General features: G+C 50.4%; 2 protein-coding genes across 3 annotated transcripts in view, besides 1 other annotated feature; both read left to right on the forward strand.

Annotated features, from left to right (window-relative positions):
- VPS16 (VPS16 core subunit of CORVET and HOPS complexes) overlaps window positions 1-16,742 on the forward strand; it is a 25,988-nt gene extending 9,246 nt beyond the window's left edge. Inside the window, exons 2-24 of one of the 2 annotated variants that reach the window (NM_022575.4) lie at window positions 9,729-9,817; window positions 10,064-10,161; window positions 10,249-10,377; window positions 10,459-10,603; window positions 10,758-10,873; window positions 10,980-11,102; window positions 11,235-11,290; window positions 11,625-11,714; window positions 11,815-11,909; window positions 12,064-12,140; window positions 12,589-12,720; window positions 12,817-12,944; window positions 13,075-13,110; window positions 13,300-13,408; window positions 13,959-14,093; window positions 14,189-14,297; window positions 14,375-14,472; window positions 14,557-14,664; window positions 14,988-15,065; window positions 15,158-15,327; window positions 15,409-15,505; window positions 16,222-16,325; window positions 16,440-16,742. In NM_022575.4, the coding sequence (NP_072097.2) occupies window positions 9,729-9,817; window positions 10,064-10,161; window positions 10,249-10,377; window positions 10,459-10,603; window positions 10,758-10,873; window positions 10,980-11,102; window positions 11,235-11,290; window positions 11,625-11,714; window positions 11,815-11,909; window positions 12,064-12,140; window positions 12,589-12,720; window positions 12,817-12,944; window positions 13,075-13,110; window positions 13,300-13,408; window positions 13,959-14,093; window positions 14,189-14,297; window positions 14,375-14,472; window positions 14,557-14,664; window positions 14,988-15,065; window positions 15,158-15,327; window positions 15,409-15,505; window positions 16,222-16,325; window positions 16,440-16,584 (2,467 nt within the window). In that variant the 3' untranslated portion in view covers window positions 16,585-16,742. The remainder of the gene's footprint in view (window positions 1-9,728; window positions 9,818-10,063; window positions 10,162-10,248; window positions 10,378-10,458; window positions 10,604-10,757; window positions 10,874-10,979; window positions 11,103-11,234; window positions 11,291-11,624; window positions 11,715-11,814; window positions 11,910-12,063; window positions 12,141-12,588; window positions 12,721-12,816; window positions 12,945-13,074; window positions 13,111-13,299; window positions 13,409-13,958; window positions 14,094-14,188; window positions 14,298-14,374; window positions 14,473-14,556; window positions 14,665-14,987; window positions 15,066-15,157; window positions 15,328-15,408; window positions 15,506-16,221; window positions 16,326-16,439) is intronic. The other variant, NM_080413.3, reaches the window with a different exon arrangement.
- Window positions 9,702-10,202: an enhancer, noted in NCBI's record as "H3K27ac hESC enhancer chr20:2840338-2840838 (GRCh37/hg19 assembly coordinates)". NCBI's record gives its function as "activates a minimal SCP1, AML or CMV promoter by ChIP-STARR-seq in naive H9 embryonic stem cells {active_cell/tissue: H9 hESC(naive)}" and the evidence as "EXISTENCE:reporter gene assay evidence [ECO:0000049][PMID:30033119]".
- PTPRA (protein tyrosine phosphatase receptor type A) overlaps window positions 14,194-17,132 on the forward strand; it is a 174,486-nt gene continuing 171,547 nt past the window's right edge. Inside the window, exons 1-5 of the mRNA NM_002836.4 lie at window positions 14,194-14,297; window positions 14,375-14,472; window positions 14,557-14,664; window positions 14,988-15,065; window positions 15,158-15,327. The gene's annotated coding sequence lies outside the window, so the exon portion shown is untranslated. The remainder of the gene's footprint in view (window positions 14,298-14,374; window positions 14,473-14,556; window positions 14,665-14,987; window positions 15,066-15,157; window positions 15,328-17,132) is intronic.

Here is a 17,132-nt window from a genome sequence, read left to right on the forward strand (position 1 = left end):
GGGTCCAGTCAGAAGACTTAACATGGAAAGTTTAATATAAAGAATTATTGGCCTGGTGTGGGGGCTCATGCCTGTAATCCCAACACTTGGGGATACCAATGCTGGTGGGTCAGCTGGGGTCAGGAGTTCGAGACCAGCCTGGCCAACATGGCAAAACCCCATCTCTAATAAAAATACAAAAAATTAGCCAGGCGTGGTGGCAGGCGCCTGTAATCCCCAGCTACTTGGGAGGATGAGGCAGGAGAACTCCTTGAACCTTGGAGGCAGAGGTTGCAGTGAGCCCAGATCGTGCCACTGCACTCCAGCCTGGGCAACAAGAGCGAAACTCTGTCTCAAAAAACAAAACAAAACAAAAAGGCCGGATGCAGTGGCTCATGCCTGTAATCCCAGCACTTTGAGAGGCCGAGGTGAGCAGATCATGAGGTCAAGAAATCGAGACTATCTGGCCAACGTGGTGAAACCCCATCTCTGATAAAAATACAAAAATTATCTGGGTGTGGTGGTGTGCACCTGTAGTTCCAGCTACTTGGGAGGCTGAGGCAGGAGAATCGCTTGAACCTGGGAGGTGGAGGTTGCAGTTAGCCGAGATTTTGCCACTGCACTCCAGCCTGGCAACAGAGTGAGACGCCATCTCCAAAGAAAAGAAAAAGAAAAAGAAAAAAATTATTTAACTGTGATAAAGGAGTATATGATATGGTTGGACATGGTAGCTCACGCCTGTAATCCCAATACTTTGGGAGGCCGTGGCAGGCAGATCACACAAGCCCAGGAGTTTGAGACCAGCCTGGGCAACATGGTGAAACCCCATCTCTACAAAAAAAAAACAAAAAAAACAGCTGGGCATGGTGGTGCACACTTGTAGTCCCAGCTACTCAGGAGGCTGAGGTGGGAGAGTCACCTGAGCCCTGGGAGGTCATGGCTACAGTGAGCCAATCACACCACTGCACTGTAGCTGGGCGATAGAGTAAGACTGTCAAAAAAAAAAAAAAAAAAGAAAAAGAATATGAGATATAAGAAAATTTTATGATAGCCTGGGGCCAAGGAAGAGTACCCAAGGAATGACAAACTTGGAAGAGGGAGCCTGTCTTCAGGCTAGGGTTCAGACCTCGTTGGAAAAATACAGTTGCAGCCCACTGGATGGCAGAGAAGTTGGTTTGCCCAGGTTGGAGCTGGTCTATAATATCAGACAAGCAAGAAGCAACCCTCTGAGGCCACAAGGGATGTAAAGACGTAGGCAAGCTGCAACTCTCAGCCTGGGGTGTTAGGTGGACGGTGTGAATGGGAGTGCTGGTGCAGGCAGGAGGCCTGCAACACACAGTGTCAATATGGCAAGGTAGGCCGGGCATGGTGGCTCACGCCTGTAATCCTAACACTTTGGGAGGCCGAGGTGGGCAGATCACCTGAGGTTGGGGGTTCGAGATCAGCCTGACCAACGTGGAGAAACCCCGTCTCTACTAACGATACCAGTTTGAGACCAGCCTGGCCAACATGGTGAAACCCCATCTCTACTAAAACTACAAAATTAGCTGGGCATGGTGGTGCGTGCCTGTAATCCCAGCTACTTGGGAGGCTGAGGCAGGAGAATTGCTGGAACCTGGGAGGCAGAGGTTGCAGTGAGCCGGTATTGCTCCATTGCACTCCAGCCTGGGCAACAAGAGCAAAACTCCGTCTCAAAAAAAAAAAACAAAAAACACACAGGCTGGGCGAGGTGGCTCACACCTGTAATCCCAACACTTTGGGAAGCCGAGGCAGGCAGATCACAAGGTCAGGAGATCGAGACCATCCTGGCTAACACGGTGAAACCCCGTCTCTACTAAAAATACAAAAAAAATTAGCTGGGCGTGATGGCAGGCTCCTGTAGTCTCAGCTACTCAGGAGGCTGAGGTAGGAGGATGGCGTGAAGTCGGGAGGCGGAGCTTGCAGGAGCCGAGATCGTGCCACTGTACTCCAGCCTGGGCGACAGAGCGAGACGCTGTCTCAAAAAACCTGTGGCTGGGCATACAGGTGTGCAGAGGACATTGGTGGAAACACTAGTGCACAGGCAGGATGCAGCCAGTGGCCAGGCATCTTGGTATAGAGAGGAAGTGGGGACCTGGTGTGGGCAGGAAGCCTGGAGTGCAGCGTCTGTCCAGACAGCTTGAGAAGGTGATCCGGAAAGTGCTGCGATGTTGCTGAGGGACCATGCTTTGCGGATGTGTGGCTGGGGCGGAGCAGTACTAGATATTCTCACACCCTGACTGCTGGCTGACCACCAACCCTGGAAGCACAGGAGGGCCCCTTCCTAGTGCAGTGTCCTTCCAGCGCCCTCTGCTGAGAAAGCTTAACATGCTCACTATAAAGGAGAAATGTTTAAAGGAATGCTGACCATTACCACAGAACATGGGTTAAAGGGTGAATTTGGAGCTGAGAGGCAATGCGTTGATAACTGGCATGCTAGATTTGTATGAATATCTATTTTCCTATCAGATGTTTTTTCACCCAATGATTTTAGTTATAGAATGTCAAAAGAAATGCATATGGGTTGTAAATTCAAATAATGCCAAAGTATATACAGACATGCTTTGGAGATATTATGGGTTCAGTTCCAGACTACAACAATATAATGAATATTGCAAAACACGTCACATGAATTTTTTTGGTTTCCCAGTCCATATAAAAGTTTTATGTTTACAGTATACTGTAGTATATTAGGTGTGCAATAGCATTATGTCTAAACAAAAGTACGTAACTTAAAAATACTTTATTGCTAAAATATGCTAGTGATTATCAGAGTCTTAAGCAACGTGTAGTATTTGTGCTGGTGGAGGGTCTTGCCTCAGTGATGATGACTACTAATTAATCTGAGTTGTGGTTGCTGAAGGTTAGGGTGGCTATCATAATTTCTTAAAACAACAATGAAGTTGCCACAACAGTGGGCTCTTCCTTTCATGAAAGATTTCTCAGTAGCATGCAATGCTGTCTGATAGCATTTTATCCAAAATAGAACTTTCAAAATTGGAGTTAATCCTTTCAAACCACGCCGCTGCTTTATTAACTAAGTATATGTAATACTCCGAATCCTTTGTTGTCATTTCAACAGTGTTCACAATAGTAGATGCCATCTCAAGAAACCACTTTCAGCCGGGCATGGTGGCTCACACTTGTAGTCCCAGCACTTTAGGAGGCCAAGGTGGGCAGAGCACTTGAGGCCAGGAGTTCAAAACCAGCCTGGCCAACATGGTGAAACCGTGTCTCTACTAAAAATACAAAAATTAGCTGGGTGTGGTGCTGGGTGCCTGTAATCCCAGCTACAGGAAGCCTAGGCAGGAGAATTGCTTGAACCTGGGAAGCAGACGTTGCAGTGAGCCGAGATCGTGCCACTGCACTCCAGCCTGGGTGACAGAGCAAGACTCTGTCTCAAAACAAACAAACAACAACAAAAAAAAAAAACCCACTTTCTTTGCTCATCCATAAGAAGCAAATCCTTATTTGTTCAAGTGCTGAGATTGAAGCAATTCAGTCACATCTTCAGGCCTCACTTCTAATTCTGATTCTCTTGCTATTTCCACTGCATCTGCAGAGACTCCTACTGAAGTCTTGAACCCCTCAAAGTCATCCATGAGGATTGGAATCAACTTCTTCCAAACTCCTGTTAATTTTGATATTTTGACCTCCTCTCATGAATCATAAGAGTATTTTATTTTTATTTTTTTTATTTTTTGGGACGAAGTCTCATTCTGTCACCCAGGCTGGAGTGCAGTGGCATGATCTCGGCTCACTGCAACCTCCGTCTCCCGGGTTCAAGCGATTCTCCTGCCTCAGCTTACTGATTAGCTGGGATTACAGGCACCCGCCACCACACCTGGCTAATTTTTATATTTTTAGTAGAGACAGGGTTTCACCGTGTTGGCCAGGCTGGTCTTGAACTCCTGACCTCAGGCGATCTGCCTGCCTCAGCCTCCCAAAATGCAGGGATTACAGGTGTGAGCCACCGTGCCCAGCCATGAATCATAAGTGTTCTTAATGGCATCTACAATGGTGACTCCTTTCCAGCTGAGATTGCACCACTGAAAACCTTTCCAGGCTTTCAGTTTTGTCCAGATCCATCAGAGAAATTACTAGCTATGGCAGCTATAGCCTTATAAAATGTATTTCTAGGCCAAGCATGGTCGTGCACACCTGTAAGACCAGCACTTTGGGAGGCCAAGGTATAAGAATCACTTGAGGCCAGGATTTCAAGACCAGCCTGGCAACAGAGACCCCGTCTCTACACACACACACACACACACACACACAAATTTTTTAGCCAAGTGCACTAGCATGCGCCAGTAGTCCCAGCTACTCAGGAGGCTGAGGTTGGAGCATCACTTGAGTCCAGGAGTTTGAGGCTTCAAGGCTACAGTGAGCCATGATCACATCACTGCACTCCATCCTGGGCAACAGAGCAAGACAATGTCTTTCTAAAAACAAAACAAAACAAAACAAAAAAAACGAGAGAGAGAAAGAAAAAAATGTATTTCTTATATAAGACTTGAAAATTGAGGCCGGGCGTGGTGGCTCACATCTGTAATCCCAACACTTTGGGAGGCTGAGGCAGGCGAATCACTTGAGGTCAGGAGTTCGAGACCAGCCTGGCCAACACGGTGAAACCCTGTCTCTACTAAAGAAATAGAAAAATTAGCTGGGCATGGTGGTGCATGCCTGTAGTCCCAGCTACTCAGGAGGCCGAGGCAGGATAATTGCTTGAACCCGGGAGGTGGAGGTTGCGTTGAGCTGAGATTGCACCATTGCACTCCAGCCTGGGCAACAGAGTGAGACTCCATCTCAAAAAAAAAAAAGAAAGAAAGAAAAAGAAAATTGAAATCACTCTTTCCTTGATCCATGAGCTGCACAATGGATGTTGTGTTAGAAGGCATAAAGACAACATTAATCTCCTTGTACATCTCCATCAGAGTTTTTGGGGGACCAGATACGTTGTCAATGAGCAGTAATTTTTTTTTTTTTTTTTTGAGATGGAATCTCGCTGTGTCACCCAGGCTGGAGTGCAGTGGTGCAATCTCGGCTCACCGCAACCTCCGCCTCCTGGGTTCAAGTGACTCCTCTGCCTCAATCTCCCGAGTAGCTGGGACCACAGGCGCACTCCACCATGCCCGGCTAATTTTTGTATTTTTAGTAGAGGCGGGGTTTCACCATATTGGCCAGGCTGGTCTCAACTCCTGACCTTGTGAACTGCCTGCCTCGGCCTTCCAAAGTGCTGGGATTACAGGCATGAACCACCGCGCCTGGCCAATGAGCAGTAATGTTTTTAAAGGAATCTTGTTTTTTTTTTTTTGAGCAGTGGGTCTCAGCAGTGGGCTTAAAACGTTTAGTAAACCATGCTGTAAACAATGTGCTGTCATCTAGGCTTTGTTATCCCGTTTCTAGAGCACAGATAGAGTAGATTTAGCATAATTCTTAAGGGTCCTAGGATTTTCAGAATGGTAAATGAGCACTGTTCTCAACTTAAAGTCACTAGCTGCATTAGGCCCCAACAAGAGTGTCAGCCCTGTCCTTACACGCTTTGAAGCCAGGTGTTGACTTCTTTCTAGCTATGAAAGGTCTAGATGGCATCTTCTTCCAATATAAGACTGTTTTGTCTACATTGAAAACCTGTTGTTTAGCCAACCACCTTTGTCAATGATCTTCGCTAGATCTTCTGGATAACTTGCTGCAGCTTCTTTGTCAGCACTTGCTGCTTTACCTTGTGCTTTTACATTACAGAGATGGCTTTTTCCCTTAAACCTCATGAACAAACCTCTGCTAATTTCAAACTTCTGCAGCTTCCTCACCTGTCTCAGCCTTTATAGAATTTAAAGAGTTAGGGCCTTGCTCTGAATTAGGCTTTGGCCTAAGGGAATGTTGTGATCTTATACATAGTTCACTAAAACTTTCTCCTTACCCGCAAAAAGGCTACTTTGCTTTCTTATCATTCCTGTATTCACTGGAGTAGCACTTTTAATTTCCTTCAAGAACTTTTCCTTTGCATTCACAAGTTGGCTAACTGGCACACGAGGCCTAGCTTTTGTCCTGTCTTGGCTTTCAACGTGCCTTCCTCACTAAGGTTAGTCGTTTCTAGCTTTTGATTTAAAGTGAGAGATTTGCCACTCTTCTTTCACTTGAACAGTTAGAGGGTTTTTAATTAGCCTAATTTCTACACTGTGTGTCTCAGGGAATAGGAAGGCCTGAAGAGAGAGAGAGAGAGAGACGATCGGGGAACGGCTCGTTGGTGGAGCAGTCAGAACACATACAACATTTATCCGTTAAGCTCACCATCATGTATGGGTGCAGTTTGTGGCACCCCAAAACAATTATAGTAGTAACATCACTGATCACAGATCACCATATCAGATATAATAATAATGAAAAAGTTTGGAATATTGCGAGAATTACCAAATTGTGACACAGAGACATGAAGTGAGCACATGCAGTTGGAAAAATGACGCTGATAGATTTGCTTGACTCAGTGTTGCCACAAACCTTCAATTTGTAAAAAGTACAGTAAAGCAAAGTGCAACAAAATGATGTATGCTTGTAGTATAAAAGTGGACAGCTCCGCAGGTGTCTACCCCATCTACCACCCTCCCCAAAGGTAATCACTGTGTCTGGTTTAGTATGGAAGTCTCTTGAGCATTTTTCTGTATATTAACACAGAAGTAAAATAATGAAATAGCATTTATTGTGGTTCTTCCTATATGGCCCATAGTCTCGTTTCAAGTATCAATTTCCACCAATTTGAAATGCTAGCTTTATTATTTGCTCAATTCTGAGATCTTTTCCTAGACGCCATCCTCTTCCATTGATCTATTTGCACATTCCTGTGCCAAAATAATAGTTTTAATTAATTTTATATAGTGTGTGTATCTGGTATACATCTGTTCTCATATTTTCAAAATGTTCTTAAATATTTTGTGGTATTTCCTCTTTCAGATGATCTTTTTCCCCTATATGAACTTTTTTTTCTTTTTCTTTTTCTTTTTTTTTTTTTTTGAGACAGAGTCTCCCTCAGTCGCCCAAGCTGGAGTGCAGTGGCACAATTTTGGCTCACTGCAACCCCTGCCTCCCAGGTTCAAGCAATTCTCATGCCTCAGCCTCCTGACTAGCTGGGATTTCAGGCATGCGCCACCATGCCCAGCTAATTTTGTATTTTTAGTAGAGATGGGGTTTCACCATGTTGGCCATGCTGGTCTCGAACTCCTGACCTCAGGTGATCTTCCCACCTTGGCCTCCGAAAGTGCTGGGATTATAGGCGTGAGCCACTGCGCCCAGCCCCCCATTTGAACTTCAGAATCAGTTTGTGCATTACCCTTCCACTGGCCAGATAATTGGCAGAAGGTGTTTATTGGAATTCCTGTACATTTATAGATCATTTTGGATATTGCTCCATGTTTTCTATATCCTTGGAAAATATTTAATTTTGTAAAATTTTCATTAGATGTATCATTTGATATCTTACAGTTTTATCGCCATAATTATTAGGATCTCTTAAAAGTTGTATTTCTTTCTTTTTTTTTTTTTTGAGACGGAGTCTCACTCTGTCGCCCAGGCAGCTGGAGTGCAGTGGCACAATCTTGGCTCACTGCAACCTCTGCCTCCTGGGTTCAAGTGATTCTCCTGCCTTAGCCTTCTGAGTAGCTGGGATTACAGGCACCCACAACCACACCTGGCTAATTTTTGCATTTTTATTTTAATTTTATTTATTTGTTTATTTATTTATTTGTTGAGATAGAGTTTTGCTCTTGCTCCCCAGGCTGGAGTGCAGTGGCATGATCCTGGCTCACTGTAACTTCTGCCTCCTGGGCTCAAGCAATTCTCCTGCCTCAGCCTCCCGAGTAGCTGGGATTACAGGTGCCCACCACCACGCCTGGCTAATTTTTGTATTTTTAGTAGAGACAGGGTTTCACCGTGTTGGCTAGACTGGCCTCATACTCCTGACTTCAAGTGATCTGCCCACCTCACCTCAAAAAGTTGTATTTCCAATCGATTCTTGCTATGGTATGAAAATTTCTTGGTATAGAAAATAGATTGATTTTTGTTGATCACCCTATGCCCTCTGTGAGAGTCTCGTATTCATTGTTCCCTAGACTACTTTGGGTTTTTTTTTTTTGAGACAGGGTCTCACTTTGTCACCCAGGCTGGAGTGCAGTGATGCTGTCTTGGCTCACTGCAGCCTCAACCTCCCAGGTTCAAGCGATCCTCCTGCCTCAGCCCCCCAAGTAGCTGGCATGCTACTTGTAACTACAGGCATGTGCCATCACATGCAGCTAATTTTTGTATTTTTTGTAAAGACAGGGTTTCTCCATGTTGCCCAGGCCAGTCTCGGTCCACTGAGCTCAAGCAGTCTGCCTGCTTCGGCCCCCTAAAGTGCTCAGATTACAGGCATGAGCCACCTCACTCCTTACTTTGGATTTTCTAAGTAGACAATCACATTATTTGCAAATAGAAACAACTCTGCTCCTTCATCAAAATATAAACATCTCTTTATTTTTTTTTCTTAAATTATGTTGGCTAGAACCACAACAAGGATGTCAAATAGTAGGTAATGATGGGCATATTCCTGATCATTAATGAGAAGGTCCCTGAAATGATACCGGCTGAAATGCCCTTCTTAAACACTGTCTTCTCTTGGTGTCCTGGAATAGTGCCCATTCCTTCTTAGTCCCTTTTGCTACCCCTTTTCCCCCACTCTTGAGGTATGATGACATACCTCAAGCTCCCTACTCCAACTTCCCATGCAGCACACACTCAGTGATCCATGAGCATTTCACATTGCAATCATCTCATGCCTGGTTGTGATTTGTGATTTGGTTGCCTGCCATAAGCCAAGCATTGGCAGATTAACATGCCCAATCCAGGACGACTCCCAGCACCATCTCACTGAAAAGCTCCTCTTGGATTTCTTTCAGGCACTGCTAACTCAGTACCTCTAAAACTAAGTTCATCATCAATAAGCATAGAGCTGAACCCCTGGGTATAAAGCCCACACCCTGATTCATTAAGAACCAGAAATAGGCCAGGCACTGCAGGTCACATCTGTAATACCAGCACTTTGGAGGCCAGGGTAGGAGGATTGCTTGAGCCCAGGAGTTTGAGACCAGCCTGGGCAACATGGGGAGACTCCATCTCTACAAAAAATACAGAAATTAGCCAGGTGTGGTAGTGCACCCTGGAGTTCCAGCTACCCAGGAGGCTGAGATGGGAAGATCACTTGAGCCTGAAGCTGCAAAGAGCCATGACTGTGACACTGCACCTCAGCCTGGGCAACACACTGAGACCCTCTCTCAAAAAAGAAGGACTAGAAATAGAAGAAAGGCTTTCTTCTCTGAGAGACCTTTTCTGAGAGTCTCATTTCCTGCTAAAGCTGGCCTGAGCCAGCCACTTCACTTTAGTTCTATCTCAGTTTGTGCCTTGGATGTTGGCCACGCAGCCTGCCTGGCTCAAGAGCTCCTGCCATCCTTGGACACTTGCCCCAAGAACCACATCCTTCCCTGCCAACACCCTCTGCTCCCTTGCCTGCTGTCCCTAGACATGCATGTGGTCAGTTCACCCAACTTTCTGGTCATCACCCTCCTCCCTCCCTCTGGGGGTAGAGAGTGGAGACTTCCTCTACAGCCTTGTGGAAGACAAATGGAGGCTTTAGGAATTCCTCTGGGGTTCACTCCATACGGATGCAGGGTAATGAGGCTAATTTCTGCTCATCTCTGTGTGGGCAGGAAATATGAGCTGTACAGCATGGACTGGGACCTGAAGGAGGAACTCAGGGATTGCCTGGTGGCTGCTGCACCCTATGGGGGCCCCATTGGTATGTTGCCCCTCCACCACCACCTGCTCTGGGACCCTGGGATGAACTCAAGGTCCTTGATTCCTGGGGCCCTGCTGTCAGGTTGTTCTTGTTGCCACCCCCCACTCACCCTGCTGAGATGCTTTTACTTCTGGTTTTTATAGGCCTGCTTCACATGGGGTGGGCCTGGGGAGCCAGGATGTGAGGCCTGCTTCACATGGGGTGGGCCTAGGGAGCTAGGACAGAAGGTCTCTTCTCAAACTGCAGCACTGCTGAGGAACCCCTGGCGGAAGGAGAAAGCTGCTAGTGTGAGGCCAGTGCTCGATATATACTCTGCTTCCGGCATGCCTCTGGCCAGCCTGCTGGTGAGCACTTCTGATGGTCCCTGGGGCTCAGGGCTGGACAGGGTTTCCTCACCTGAGGACAGCCTTAGGAACCTCTCTCCCCTGCAGTGGAAGAGTGGACCCGTGGTGTCCCTGGGCTGGTCAGCTGAGGAGGAGCTGCTCTGTGTGCAGGAAGATGGTGCTGTACTGGTTTATGGGCTTCATGGTGACTTCCGGAGACACTTCAGCATGGGCAATGTAGGGGTCACAGAGGGCTGGGGACGCGGGGTAGAGTTTATGACCCTGTGGCTCCCTTAACCCATGGCCCCCTTTCCTCAGGAAGTGCTCCAGAACCGGGTTCTGGATGCCCGGATCTTTCACACTGAGTTTGGTTCCGGAGTGGCCATCCTCACAGGGGCCCACCGCTTCACCCTCAGTGCCAATGTGGGTGACCTCAAACTCCGCCGGATGCCAGAGGTGCCAGGTAAGCCCTGACACCGCTGAGATAGCCAAGCAGTACCCACAGATGTGCCTCTAGCCTGTGAGACCCATAAAAACAGAAGCTGTGGCTAGAGACCCATAGAAACAGAAACGGTGGGCCTTGGTCATCCTAACACTGTCCTTTTCCCTGGCCATAGGTCTGCAAAGTGCACCCTCCTGCTGGACTGTGCTGTGCCAGGACCGAGTGGCACACATTCTTCTGGCTGTGGGGCCTGACCTTTACCTCTTGGACCATGCAGCCTGCTCCGCAGTGGTAAGGGCCCTGAGTGGGAATGAAGTGGACGGGCTGGGTTAGGCAATAGGGAGGTTCTGAAAAGTCAGTATGTATCTGTCCCACCCCTACCCTGGCTCTGCCTCAGACGCCCCCTGGCCTGGCCCCAGGAGTAAGCAGCTTCCTACAGATGGCTGTCTCCTTCACCTACCGACACCTGGCACTCTTCACAGACACAGGCTACATCTGGATGGGGACAGCATCACTCAAGGTATGATCCTGGGGCAACACAGGGGTACTGTGCCTTGTCCAGGGTACAAGATCTTTTGGTGATGCGGGAGGGCTTTTCGACTAGAATGGTGACTGCTGGGACAGGGCCATGACATTGCCCACACCATTTCAGGAGAAGCTATGTGAGTTCAACTGCAACATCCGGGCACCTCCAAAGCAGATGGTCTGGTAAGGATGGGGGTGTTATTGCTGGGGGTGTGGGTGAGACATAGCTTGCTTCCTGGGACAATCAGTTCCTTGATTCGTCATGTCTACTGGCCAAGCCTAGTGGAGTTTGGATCTTACCTTCTCTGCCATTGCACACTTGAAGGAAACCATTGTCCTCTGTGGGCCACAGCTGCCTTGAGCTGAGAGCTCAGGGATAAGAGGGAAGTGGAGAGGTCAGTGTACAGTCAGTGATGCAAGTGTATACAGGCTGTCCCGAGACAAAGGATTATGAGCAGCCATGTGGGAGACATGGCCATGGGACAGTGTCTAGCCAGTGTGTATATGCTGCTCACAGGTGCAGCCGTCCTCGTAGCAAGGAGAGGGCCGTGGTGGTGGCCTGGGAAAGGCGGCTGATGGTGGTGGGCGATGCACCCGAGAGCATCCAGTATCCTTGGAGGGCTGCCTGTGTGTGGAGAGAGGGGAGGGGAGGGTTCACCTGCCCCGTCCCATCTGTAGGTGCTCTTAGGAGCCTTAACCAAGCTCAGGTTTGTGCTGGATGAGGACTCCTACCTGGTGCCTGAGCTCGATGGGGTCCGCATCTTCTCCCGCAGCACCCACGAGTTCCTGCATGAGGTTCCAGGTGAGGCCTTCACAAGGGCACCACATAACCCAAGGTGGGGACTCCTCGGCACCCCAGCTGCCCTGGGCCAGTGCCACAGAGCAGGAATAGGGTGTTGAGGCAGGGCTGAGGGTTTCCCTGCCTTTCTCCCTCACTCACCAACTCCCTTCCCCAGCGGCCAGCGAGGAAATCTTCAAAATTGCCTCAATGGCCCCCGGGGCGCTGCTCCTGGAGGCTCAGAAGGAGTATGAGGTAAAGCCCTGGGCTTCTCTCCCAGTCCCAGAATGGTTCCTCCTGCCCCTGCGTGGGCATGTGTGAGCATAGCCAGGTGCCACCTGTCAAGAGAGGGGTCCAGGCAGGACACTGGTCTGGGCTGGGGAGGGCTGGCTCATGTAAACTGAAGAGACACTATGTCCTCCATGTGGTGTGATAGGGACGGGCAGAGCATCCCCACTATCCCCACCCAGTCTGGGTTACTATTGGGAGGAGTTCTCAAGGCCCCCCTAAAGGCAGCTGTGGGCTGATACGAGATGATGTCTGTGGGCACCTCAGGTGGATTGAGTGGGCTGAGGGAGTTGGGGCTCCAGCCTGTGCAGCTCCTCCAACCCAGCTTATTTGAACCACAACCCAGAATGGTTAGGGGCCAGATGTGGGAGTGTTCTCTGTCATGATGCCCTGGCTCTGGACTGCTCCCCACCAGAAAGAGAGCCAGAAGGCGGACGAGTACCTGCGGGAGATCCAGGAGCTGGGCCAGCTGACCCAGGCCGTGCAGCAGTGCATTGAGGCTGCAGGACATGAGCACCAGCCAGACATGCAGAAGAGTCTGCTCAGGGTTGGCCTGGATGGCCGGGCCGGGGAGGGTGGGGCTGGGAGGGGGTGGGATGGGCAGCAGGGAAGCTCTCTCCTATCGCCCTCTGGCTCTTCTCAGGCCGCCTCCTTCGGAAAGTGTTTCCTGGACAGATTTCCACCCGACAGCTTCGTGCACATGTGTCAGGACCTGCGTGTGCTCAATGCTGTTCGGGACTATCACATCGGGATCCCGCTCACCTATAGCCAGTATCCCTGTGCACGCCAGAAGGGTACCCTACAGCCAGGGGTGGCAGGGGAAGGGGCTGGAGATGCGTCTGCAGGTACCTGGCAAGCGGGGCTTATTCTCCAACTGGATCCTTAACCGAGGAAAATACAGATATAAGCAGCTCACCATCCAGGTGCTGCTGGACAGGTAGGGTAAGCCCAAGGGTGCAGTGAGCGGGCTGTCAGGGGGGTGGGCATTACAGCCTTGGGTGGGGTCTTATGGTCACTGCTCCTGACCTATCTAGGATGTGGGAGGCCTGATGTGCAGGCTGAGGCCACTCTGCTCCCTTTCTCCTCCACCTCACTCCTTGTATCCTTTACCCACCGGGTCTACCAGGCTCGTGTTGCGGAGACTTTACCCCCTGGCCATCCAGATATGCGAGTACTTGCGCCTTCCTGAAGTACAGGGCGTCAGCAGGATCCTGGCCCACTGGGCCTGCTACAAGGCAAGGATGTGGGATGGGGTCCAAGGGCATTTAGAGGATTCCAGGCCCTGGTGAGGTGGAGGAAATAGAAAGTGTAGAACTGCGCTGGGCACGGTGGCTCATGCCTGTAATCCCAACACTTTGGGAGGCTGAGGCGGGCGAATCACCTGAGGTCAGGTATTCGAGACTAGCCTGGCTAACATGGTGAAACCCCGTCTCTACTAAAAATACAAAATTAGCCGGGCACGGTGGCGCATGCCTGTAATCCCAGCTACCCGGGAGGCTGAGGCAGGAGAATTGCTTTCACCTGGGAGGCAGAGGTTGCAGTGAGCTGAGATTGCACTGCTGCACTCCAGCCTGGGCGACAGAGCAAGACTCTGTCTCAAAAAAAAAGAAAGAAGTGGCGGGGGCGGAGGAGGAGGGAAAGAGAGAGAAAGAAGAAAGAGAGAAAGAAAGAAAGAAGAAGGAAGGGAGGGAGGAAGGGAACTGAAGGGGTGGGTCCTAAGGGCTTGCAGGAGTGGAGAGTGAGGAATGGCATCCAGATGTTTGTGACACCCCGCATCCCTTGCAGGTGCAACAGAAGGATGTCTCAGATGAGGATGTGGCTCGAGCCATTAACCAGAAGCTGGGGGACACGCCTGGTGTCTCTTACTCCGACATTGCTGCACGAGCCTATGGTTGTGGCCGCACGGAGCTGGCCATCAAGGTGTGGGTGCCCAGCCCTCCACAGACACTCTGATGTGGTTGTTCAGGGCCCCCATGCCAGCTCCTTCTCTCTGTGCCTTCCTTCTCACCTCACAGCTGCTGGAGTATGAGCCACGCTCAGGGGAGCAGGTACCCCTTCTCCTAAAGATGAAGAGGAGCAAACTGGCACTAAGCAAGGCCATCGAGAGCGGGGACACTGACCTGGGTGAGGGCAAGGCTGGGGGGCCCCTGGGCTAAGTGGGAGCCTGGCTGGAATTCCCACTCCACCTTACTCTCCTGCAGTGTTCACGGTGTTGCTGCACCTGAAGAACGAGCTGAACCGAGGAGATTTTTTCATGACCCTTCGGAATCAGCCCATGGCCCTCAGTTTGTACCGACAGGTGTGTGTAGTGGGCAGGGTTGTGGTGTAGCCTTCTGAGCACTTGAGTTGGCCTTGCTGACTGATTGCCTGCCTGTGGCCCCAGTTCTGTAAGCATCAGGAGCTAGAGACGCTGAAGGACCTTTACAATCAGGATGACAATCACCAGGAATTGGGCAGCTTCCACATCCGAGCCAGCTATGCTGCAGAAGAGGTCTGAGATCCATGGGGCGTGTGGGGCGTGTGGGGCATGTGGGCTGGGGCTGTTGGTCCGGTTCCTTCAGGAATCTAGGCCTTCGTGTTGGGTGCACACTCCATCTGGTCCTCACTGTGAGGGAGACTCTGACGTGAGGCCAGGATGGGGGTTAGTGTCAGAGGAGCTAGCCATCCCTCTAGGACATCAGAGTGGTGCACCTAGCAGGCAAGGCTGACCCTGGCGACCCTGGGCACAGGGATGGGGGAGAAGACTGTAGCCTGGGTGAGGAGGGCGAGGGTCCTGCATGCTGTGAGTTCAGGCCTTCCTTCTTGTCTTTATAGCGTATTGAGGGGCGAGTAGCAGCTCTGCAGACAGCCGCCGATGCCTTCTACAAGGCCAAGAATGAGTTTGCAGCCAAGGTTTGGCCCACCTTTTTCCAAGAGCCTCCTCGTCTCCTGGTCTTCCCTCCTGGTCCCTCATCCCCATCATGCCTCATTATCCGGGTCCCCAGGCTACAGAGGATCAAATGCGGCTCCTACGGCTGCAGCGGCGCCTAGAAGACGAGCTGGGGGGCCAGTTCCTAGACCTGTCTCTACATGACACAGTTACCACCCTCATTCTTGGCGGTCACAACAAGCGTGCAGAGCAGCTGGCACGTGACTTCCGCATCCCTGACAAGAGGTAGGTGAGGGCCCAGGCTGCATGTGGGTCCCAGGACCACCTGCCTCTCCTGCAACACCTCCAAGCCCAGCTTTCCTGCAGGCTCTGGTGGCTGAAGCTGACTGCCCTGGCAGATTTGGAAGATTGGGAAGAGCTAGAGAAGTTTTCCAAGAGCAAGAAATCACCCATTGGCTACCTGGTGAGGCAGGGTCCTCCCTCCAGCCCACTTCCAGTGAGGGTAGTCTTCGGGAGAGAGGGCTAGGCAGGGAGACAGATAGGATGGCCCGTTCATGCTCCTGTTCAGCTGCCCGCATAGTTAGCGAGTGCTTCCTGTATACACATTTGTGGGCAGGCATCATCTGCTGTGTTGGGTGCACTGGAGGATGGGTCCAAGTTTGCCTGCAGATGTTACGGGGAGAGAGAATGAGCTGCTTTCCCCAGGGAGGGCCACAGGGGGCACTATGTGCTAGAGGGAAAGTCTTGTCTGAGGAGGGTGGAGGGGGCACAGGGAGGGTGCATATGGGAGGCAGTGGAGATACTGAGGGCTGTTTTCTGTGGTGGGTAGTTCAGAGGTGTATAGGGCAGGTTTGAGAATGTCAATCACAAGAGAACACAGGAAATGTGAGGGCTGGTGGCAGGAACGCCTGTTGCAAGGGGTAATGGTGGGTGGTAGAGCAGAAGCGTGGAAATAATTGGTCTCAAGTCTCTGACAGAGCTTTGGTTTAGGTGATTTCTGCCCTAAGAATGTTGAGATCACAACTGTCTGTGCATGGGGGTTGGGGGATTATATGTACTGACGGGTGTATACATATAGAATATATATGGACGATGTATGCATTGCGCCTCTGCTCGTAAGAGAGAGGACAGGAGGGCTGTGCATTACCTTCTCCCTCCACCCGCTTCCTCTCCTCCAAGCCTTTTGTGGAGATCTGCATGAAACAACATAACAAATACGAAGCCAAGAAGTATGCTTCCCGCGTGGGTCCCGAGCAGAAGGTCAAGGCTTTGCTTCTTGTTGGGTGCGTCAACTGAGGGCCTGTGGGTGCTGGGTGGCTGAGCTGTGGGCTGGTGAGAGGCAGGGTTTGTGCCCTTGAGCAGCCCCAACACCACCTCCTCTCTTGCTCAAACCACAGCGATGTGGCTCAGGCTGCAGATGTGGCCATCGAACACCGGAATGAGGCTGAGCTGAGCCTCGTATTGTCCCACTGCACGGGAGCCACAGATGGGGCCACAGCTGACAAGATTCAACGGGCCAGGGCACAAGCCCAGAAGAAGTGAGGAGTCCATCCTGTACATCTCAAGCAAGGGGTTCCTCCCCTAGCACCTGGGCTTGGCAGAAGGGCCATAGTTCATCCAGCTCCTCCCCTAGAGCAATGCTGAGGAGCGGGGGCATGGTAGCAGGGCTGTCTGGTTTTAAATAAAGTTGGAACACTTCACAGTGCTTGTCTTACACAGTCCAGCCTAAGCAAAGGCAAGCTCAAGACAGGATCCTCCAGACACCACAGCAAAACTCCATGTGTTCCGTTGTGTTGGGACCGGAGGTGGGGGCTTCTCCAGCCATACTCGCAAGAAACGTGTCCTCTCCACAGTTACCAAGGAAAGCTTTCTCTATCTCACAGCTCCTAGGAAGATTATAGGGAGAGATGGCACAAAACTTAAGCACCAGCTCACCAAGAACATACTGTAAAGCATTCTGTGTGTGTGCGTGTAAACACGCAAGAACCACGCTAAACACTTTTGCTGCCTGTACTTCCTTTATTCCTCGTGACAGCCCTGTGAGGTAACATCACCCCACTTTACAGAAAGGAGATTGAGGACCAGGGAGT

Source organism: Homo sapiens, chromosome 20 (assembly GCF_000001405.40).
Source record: "Homo sapiens chromosome 20, GRCh38.p14 Primary Assembly".
NCBI lineage: Eukaryota > Metazoa > Chordata > Mammalia > Primates > Hominidae > Homo > Homo sapiens.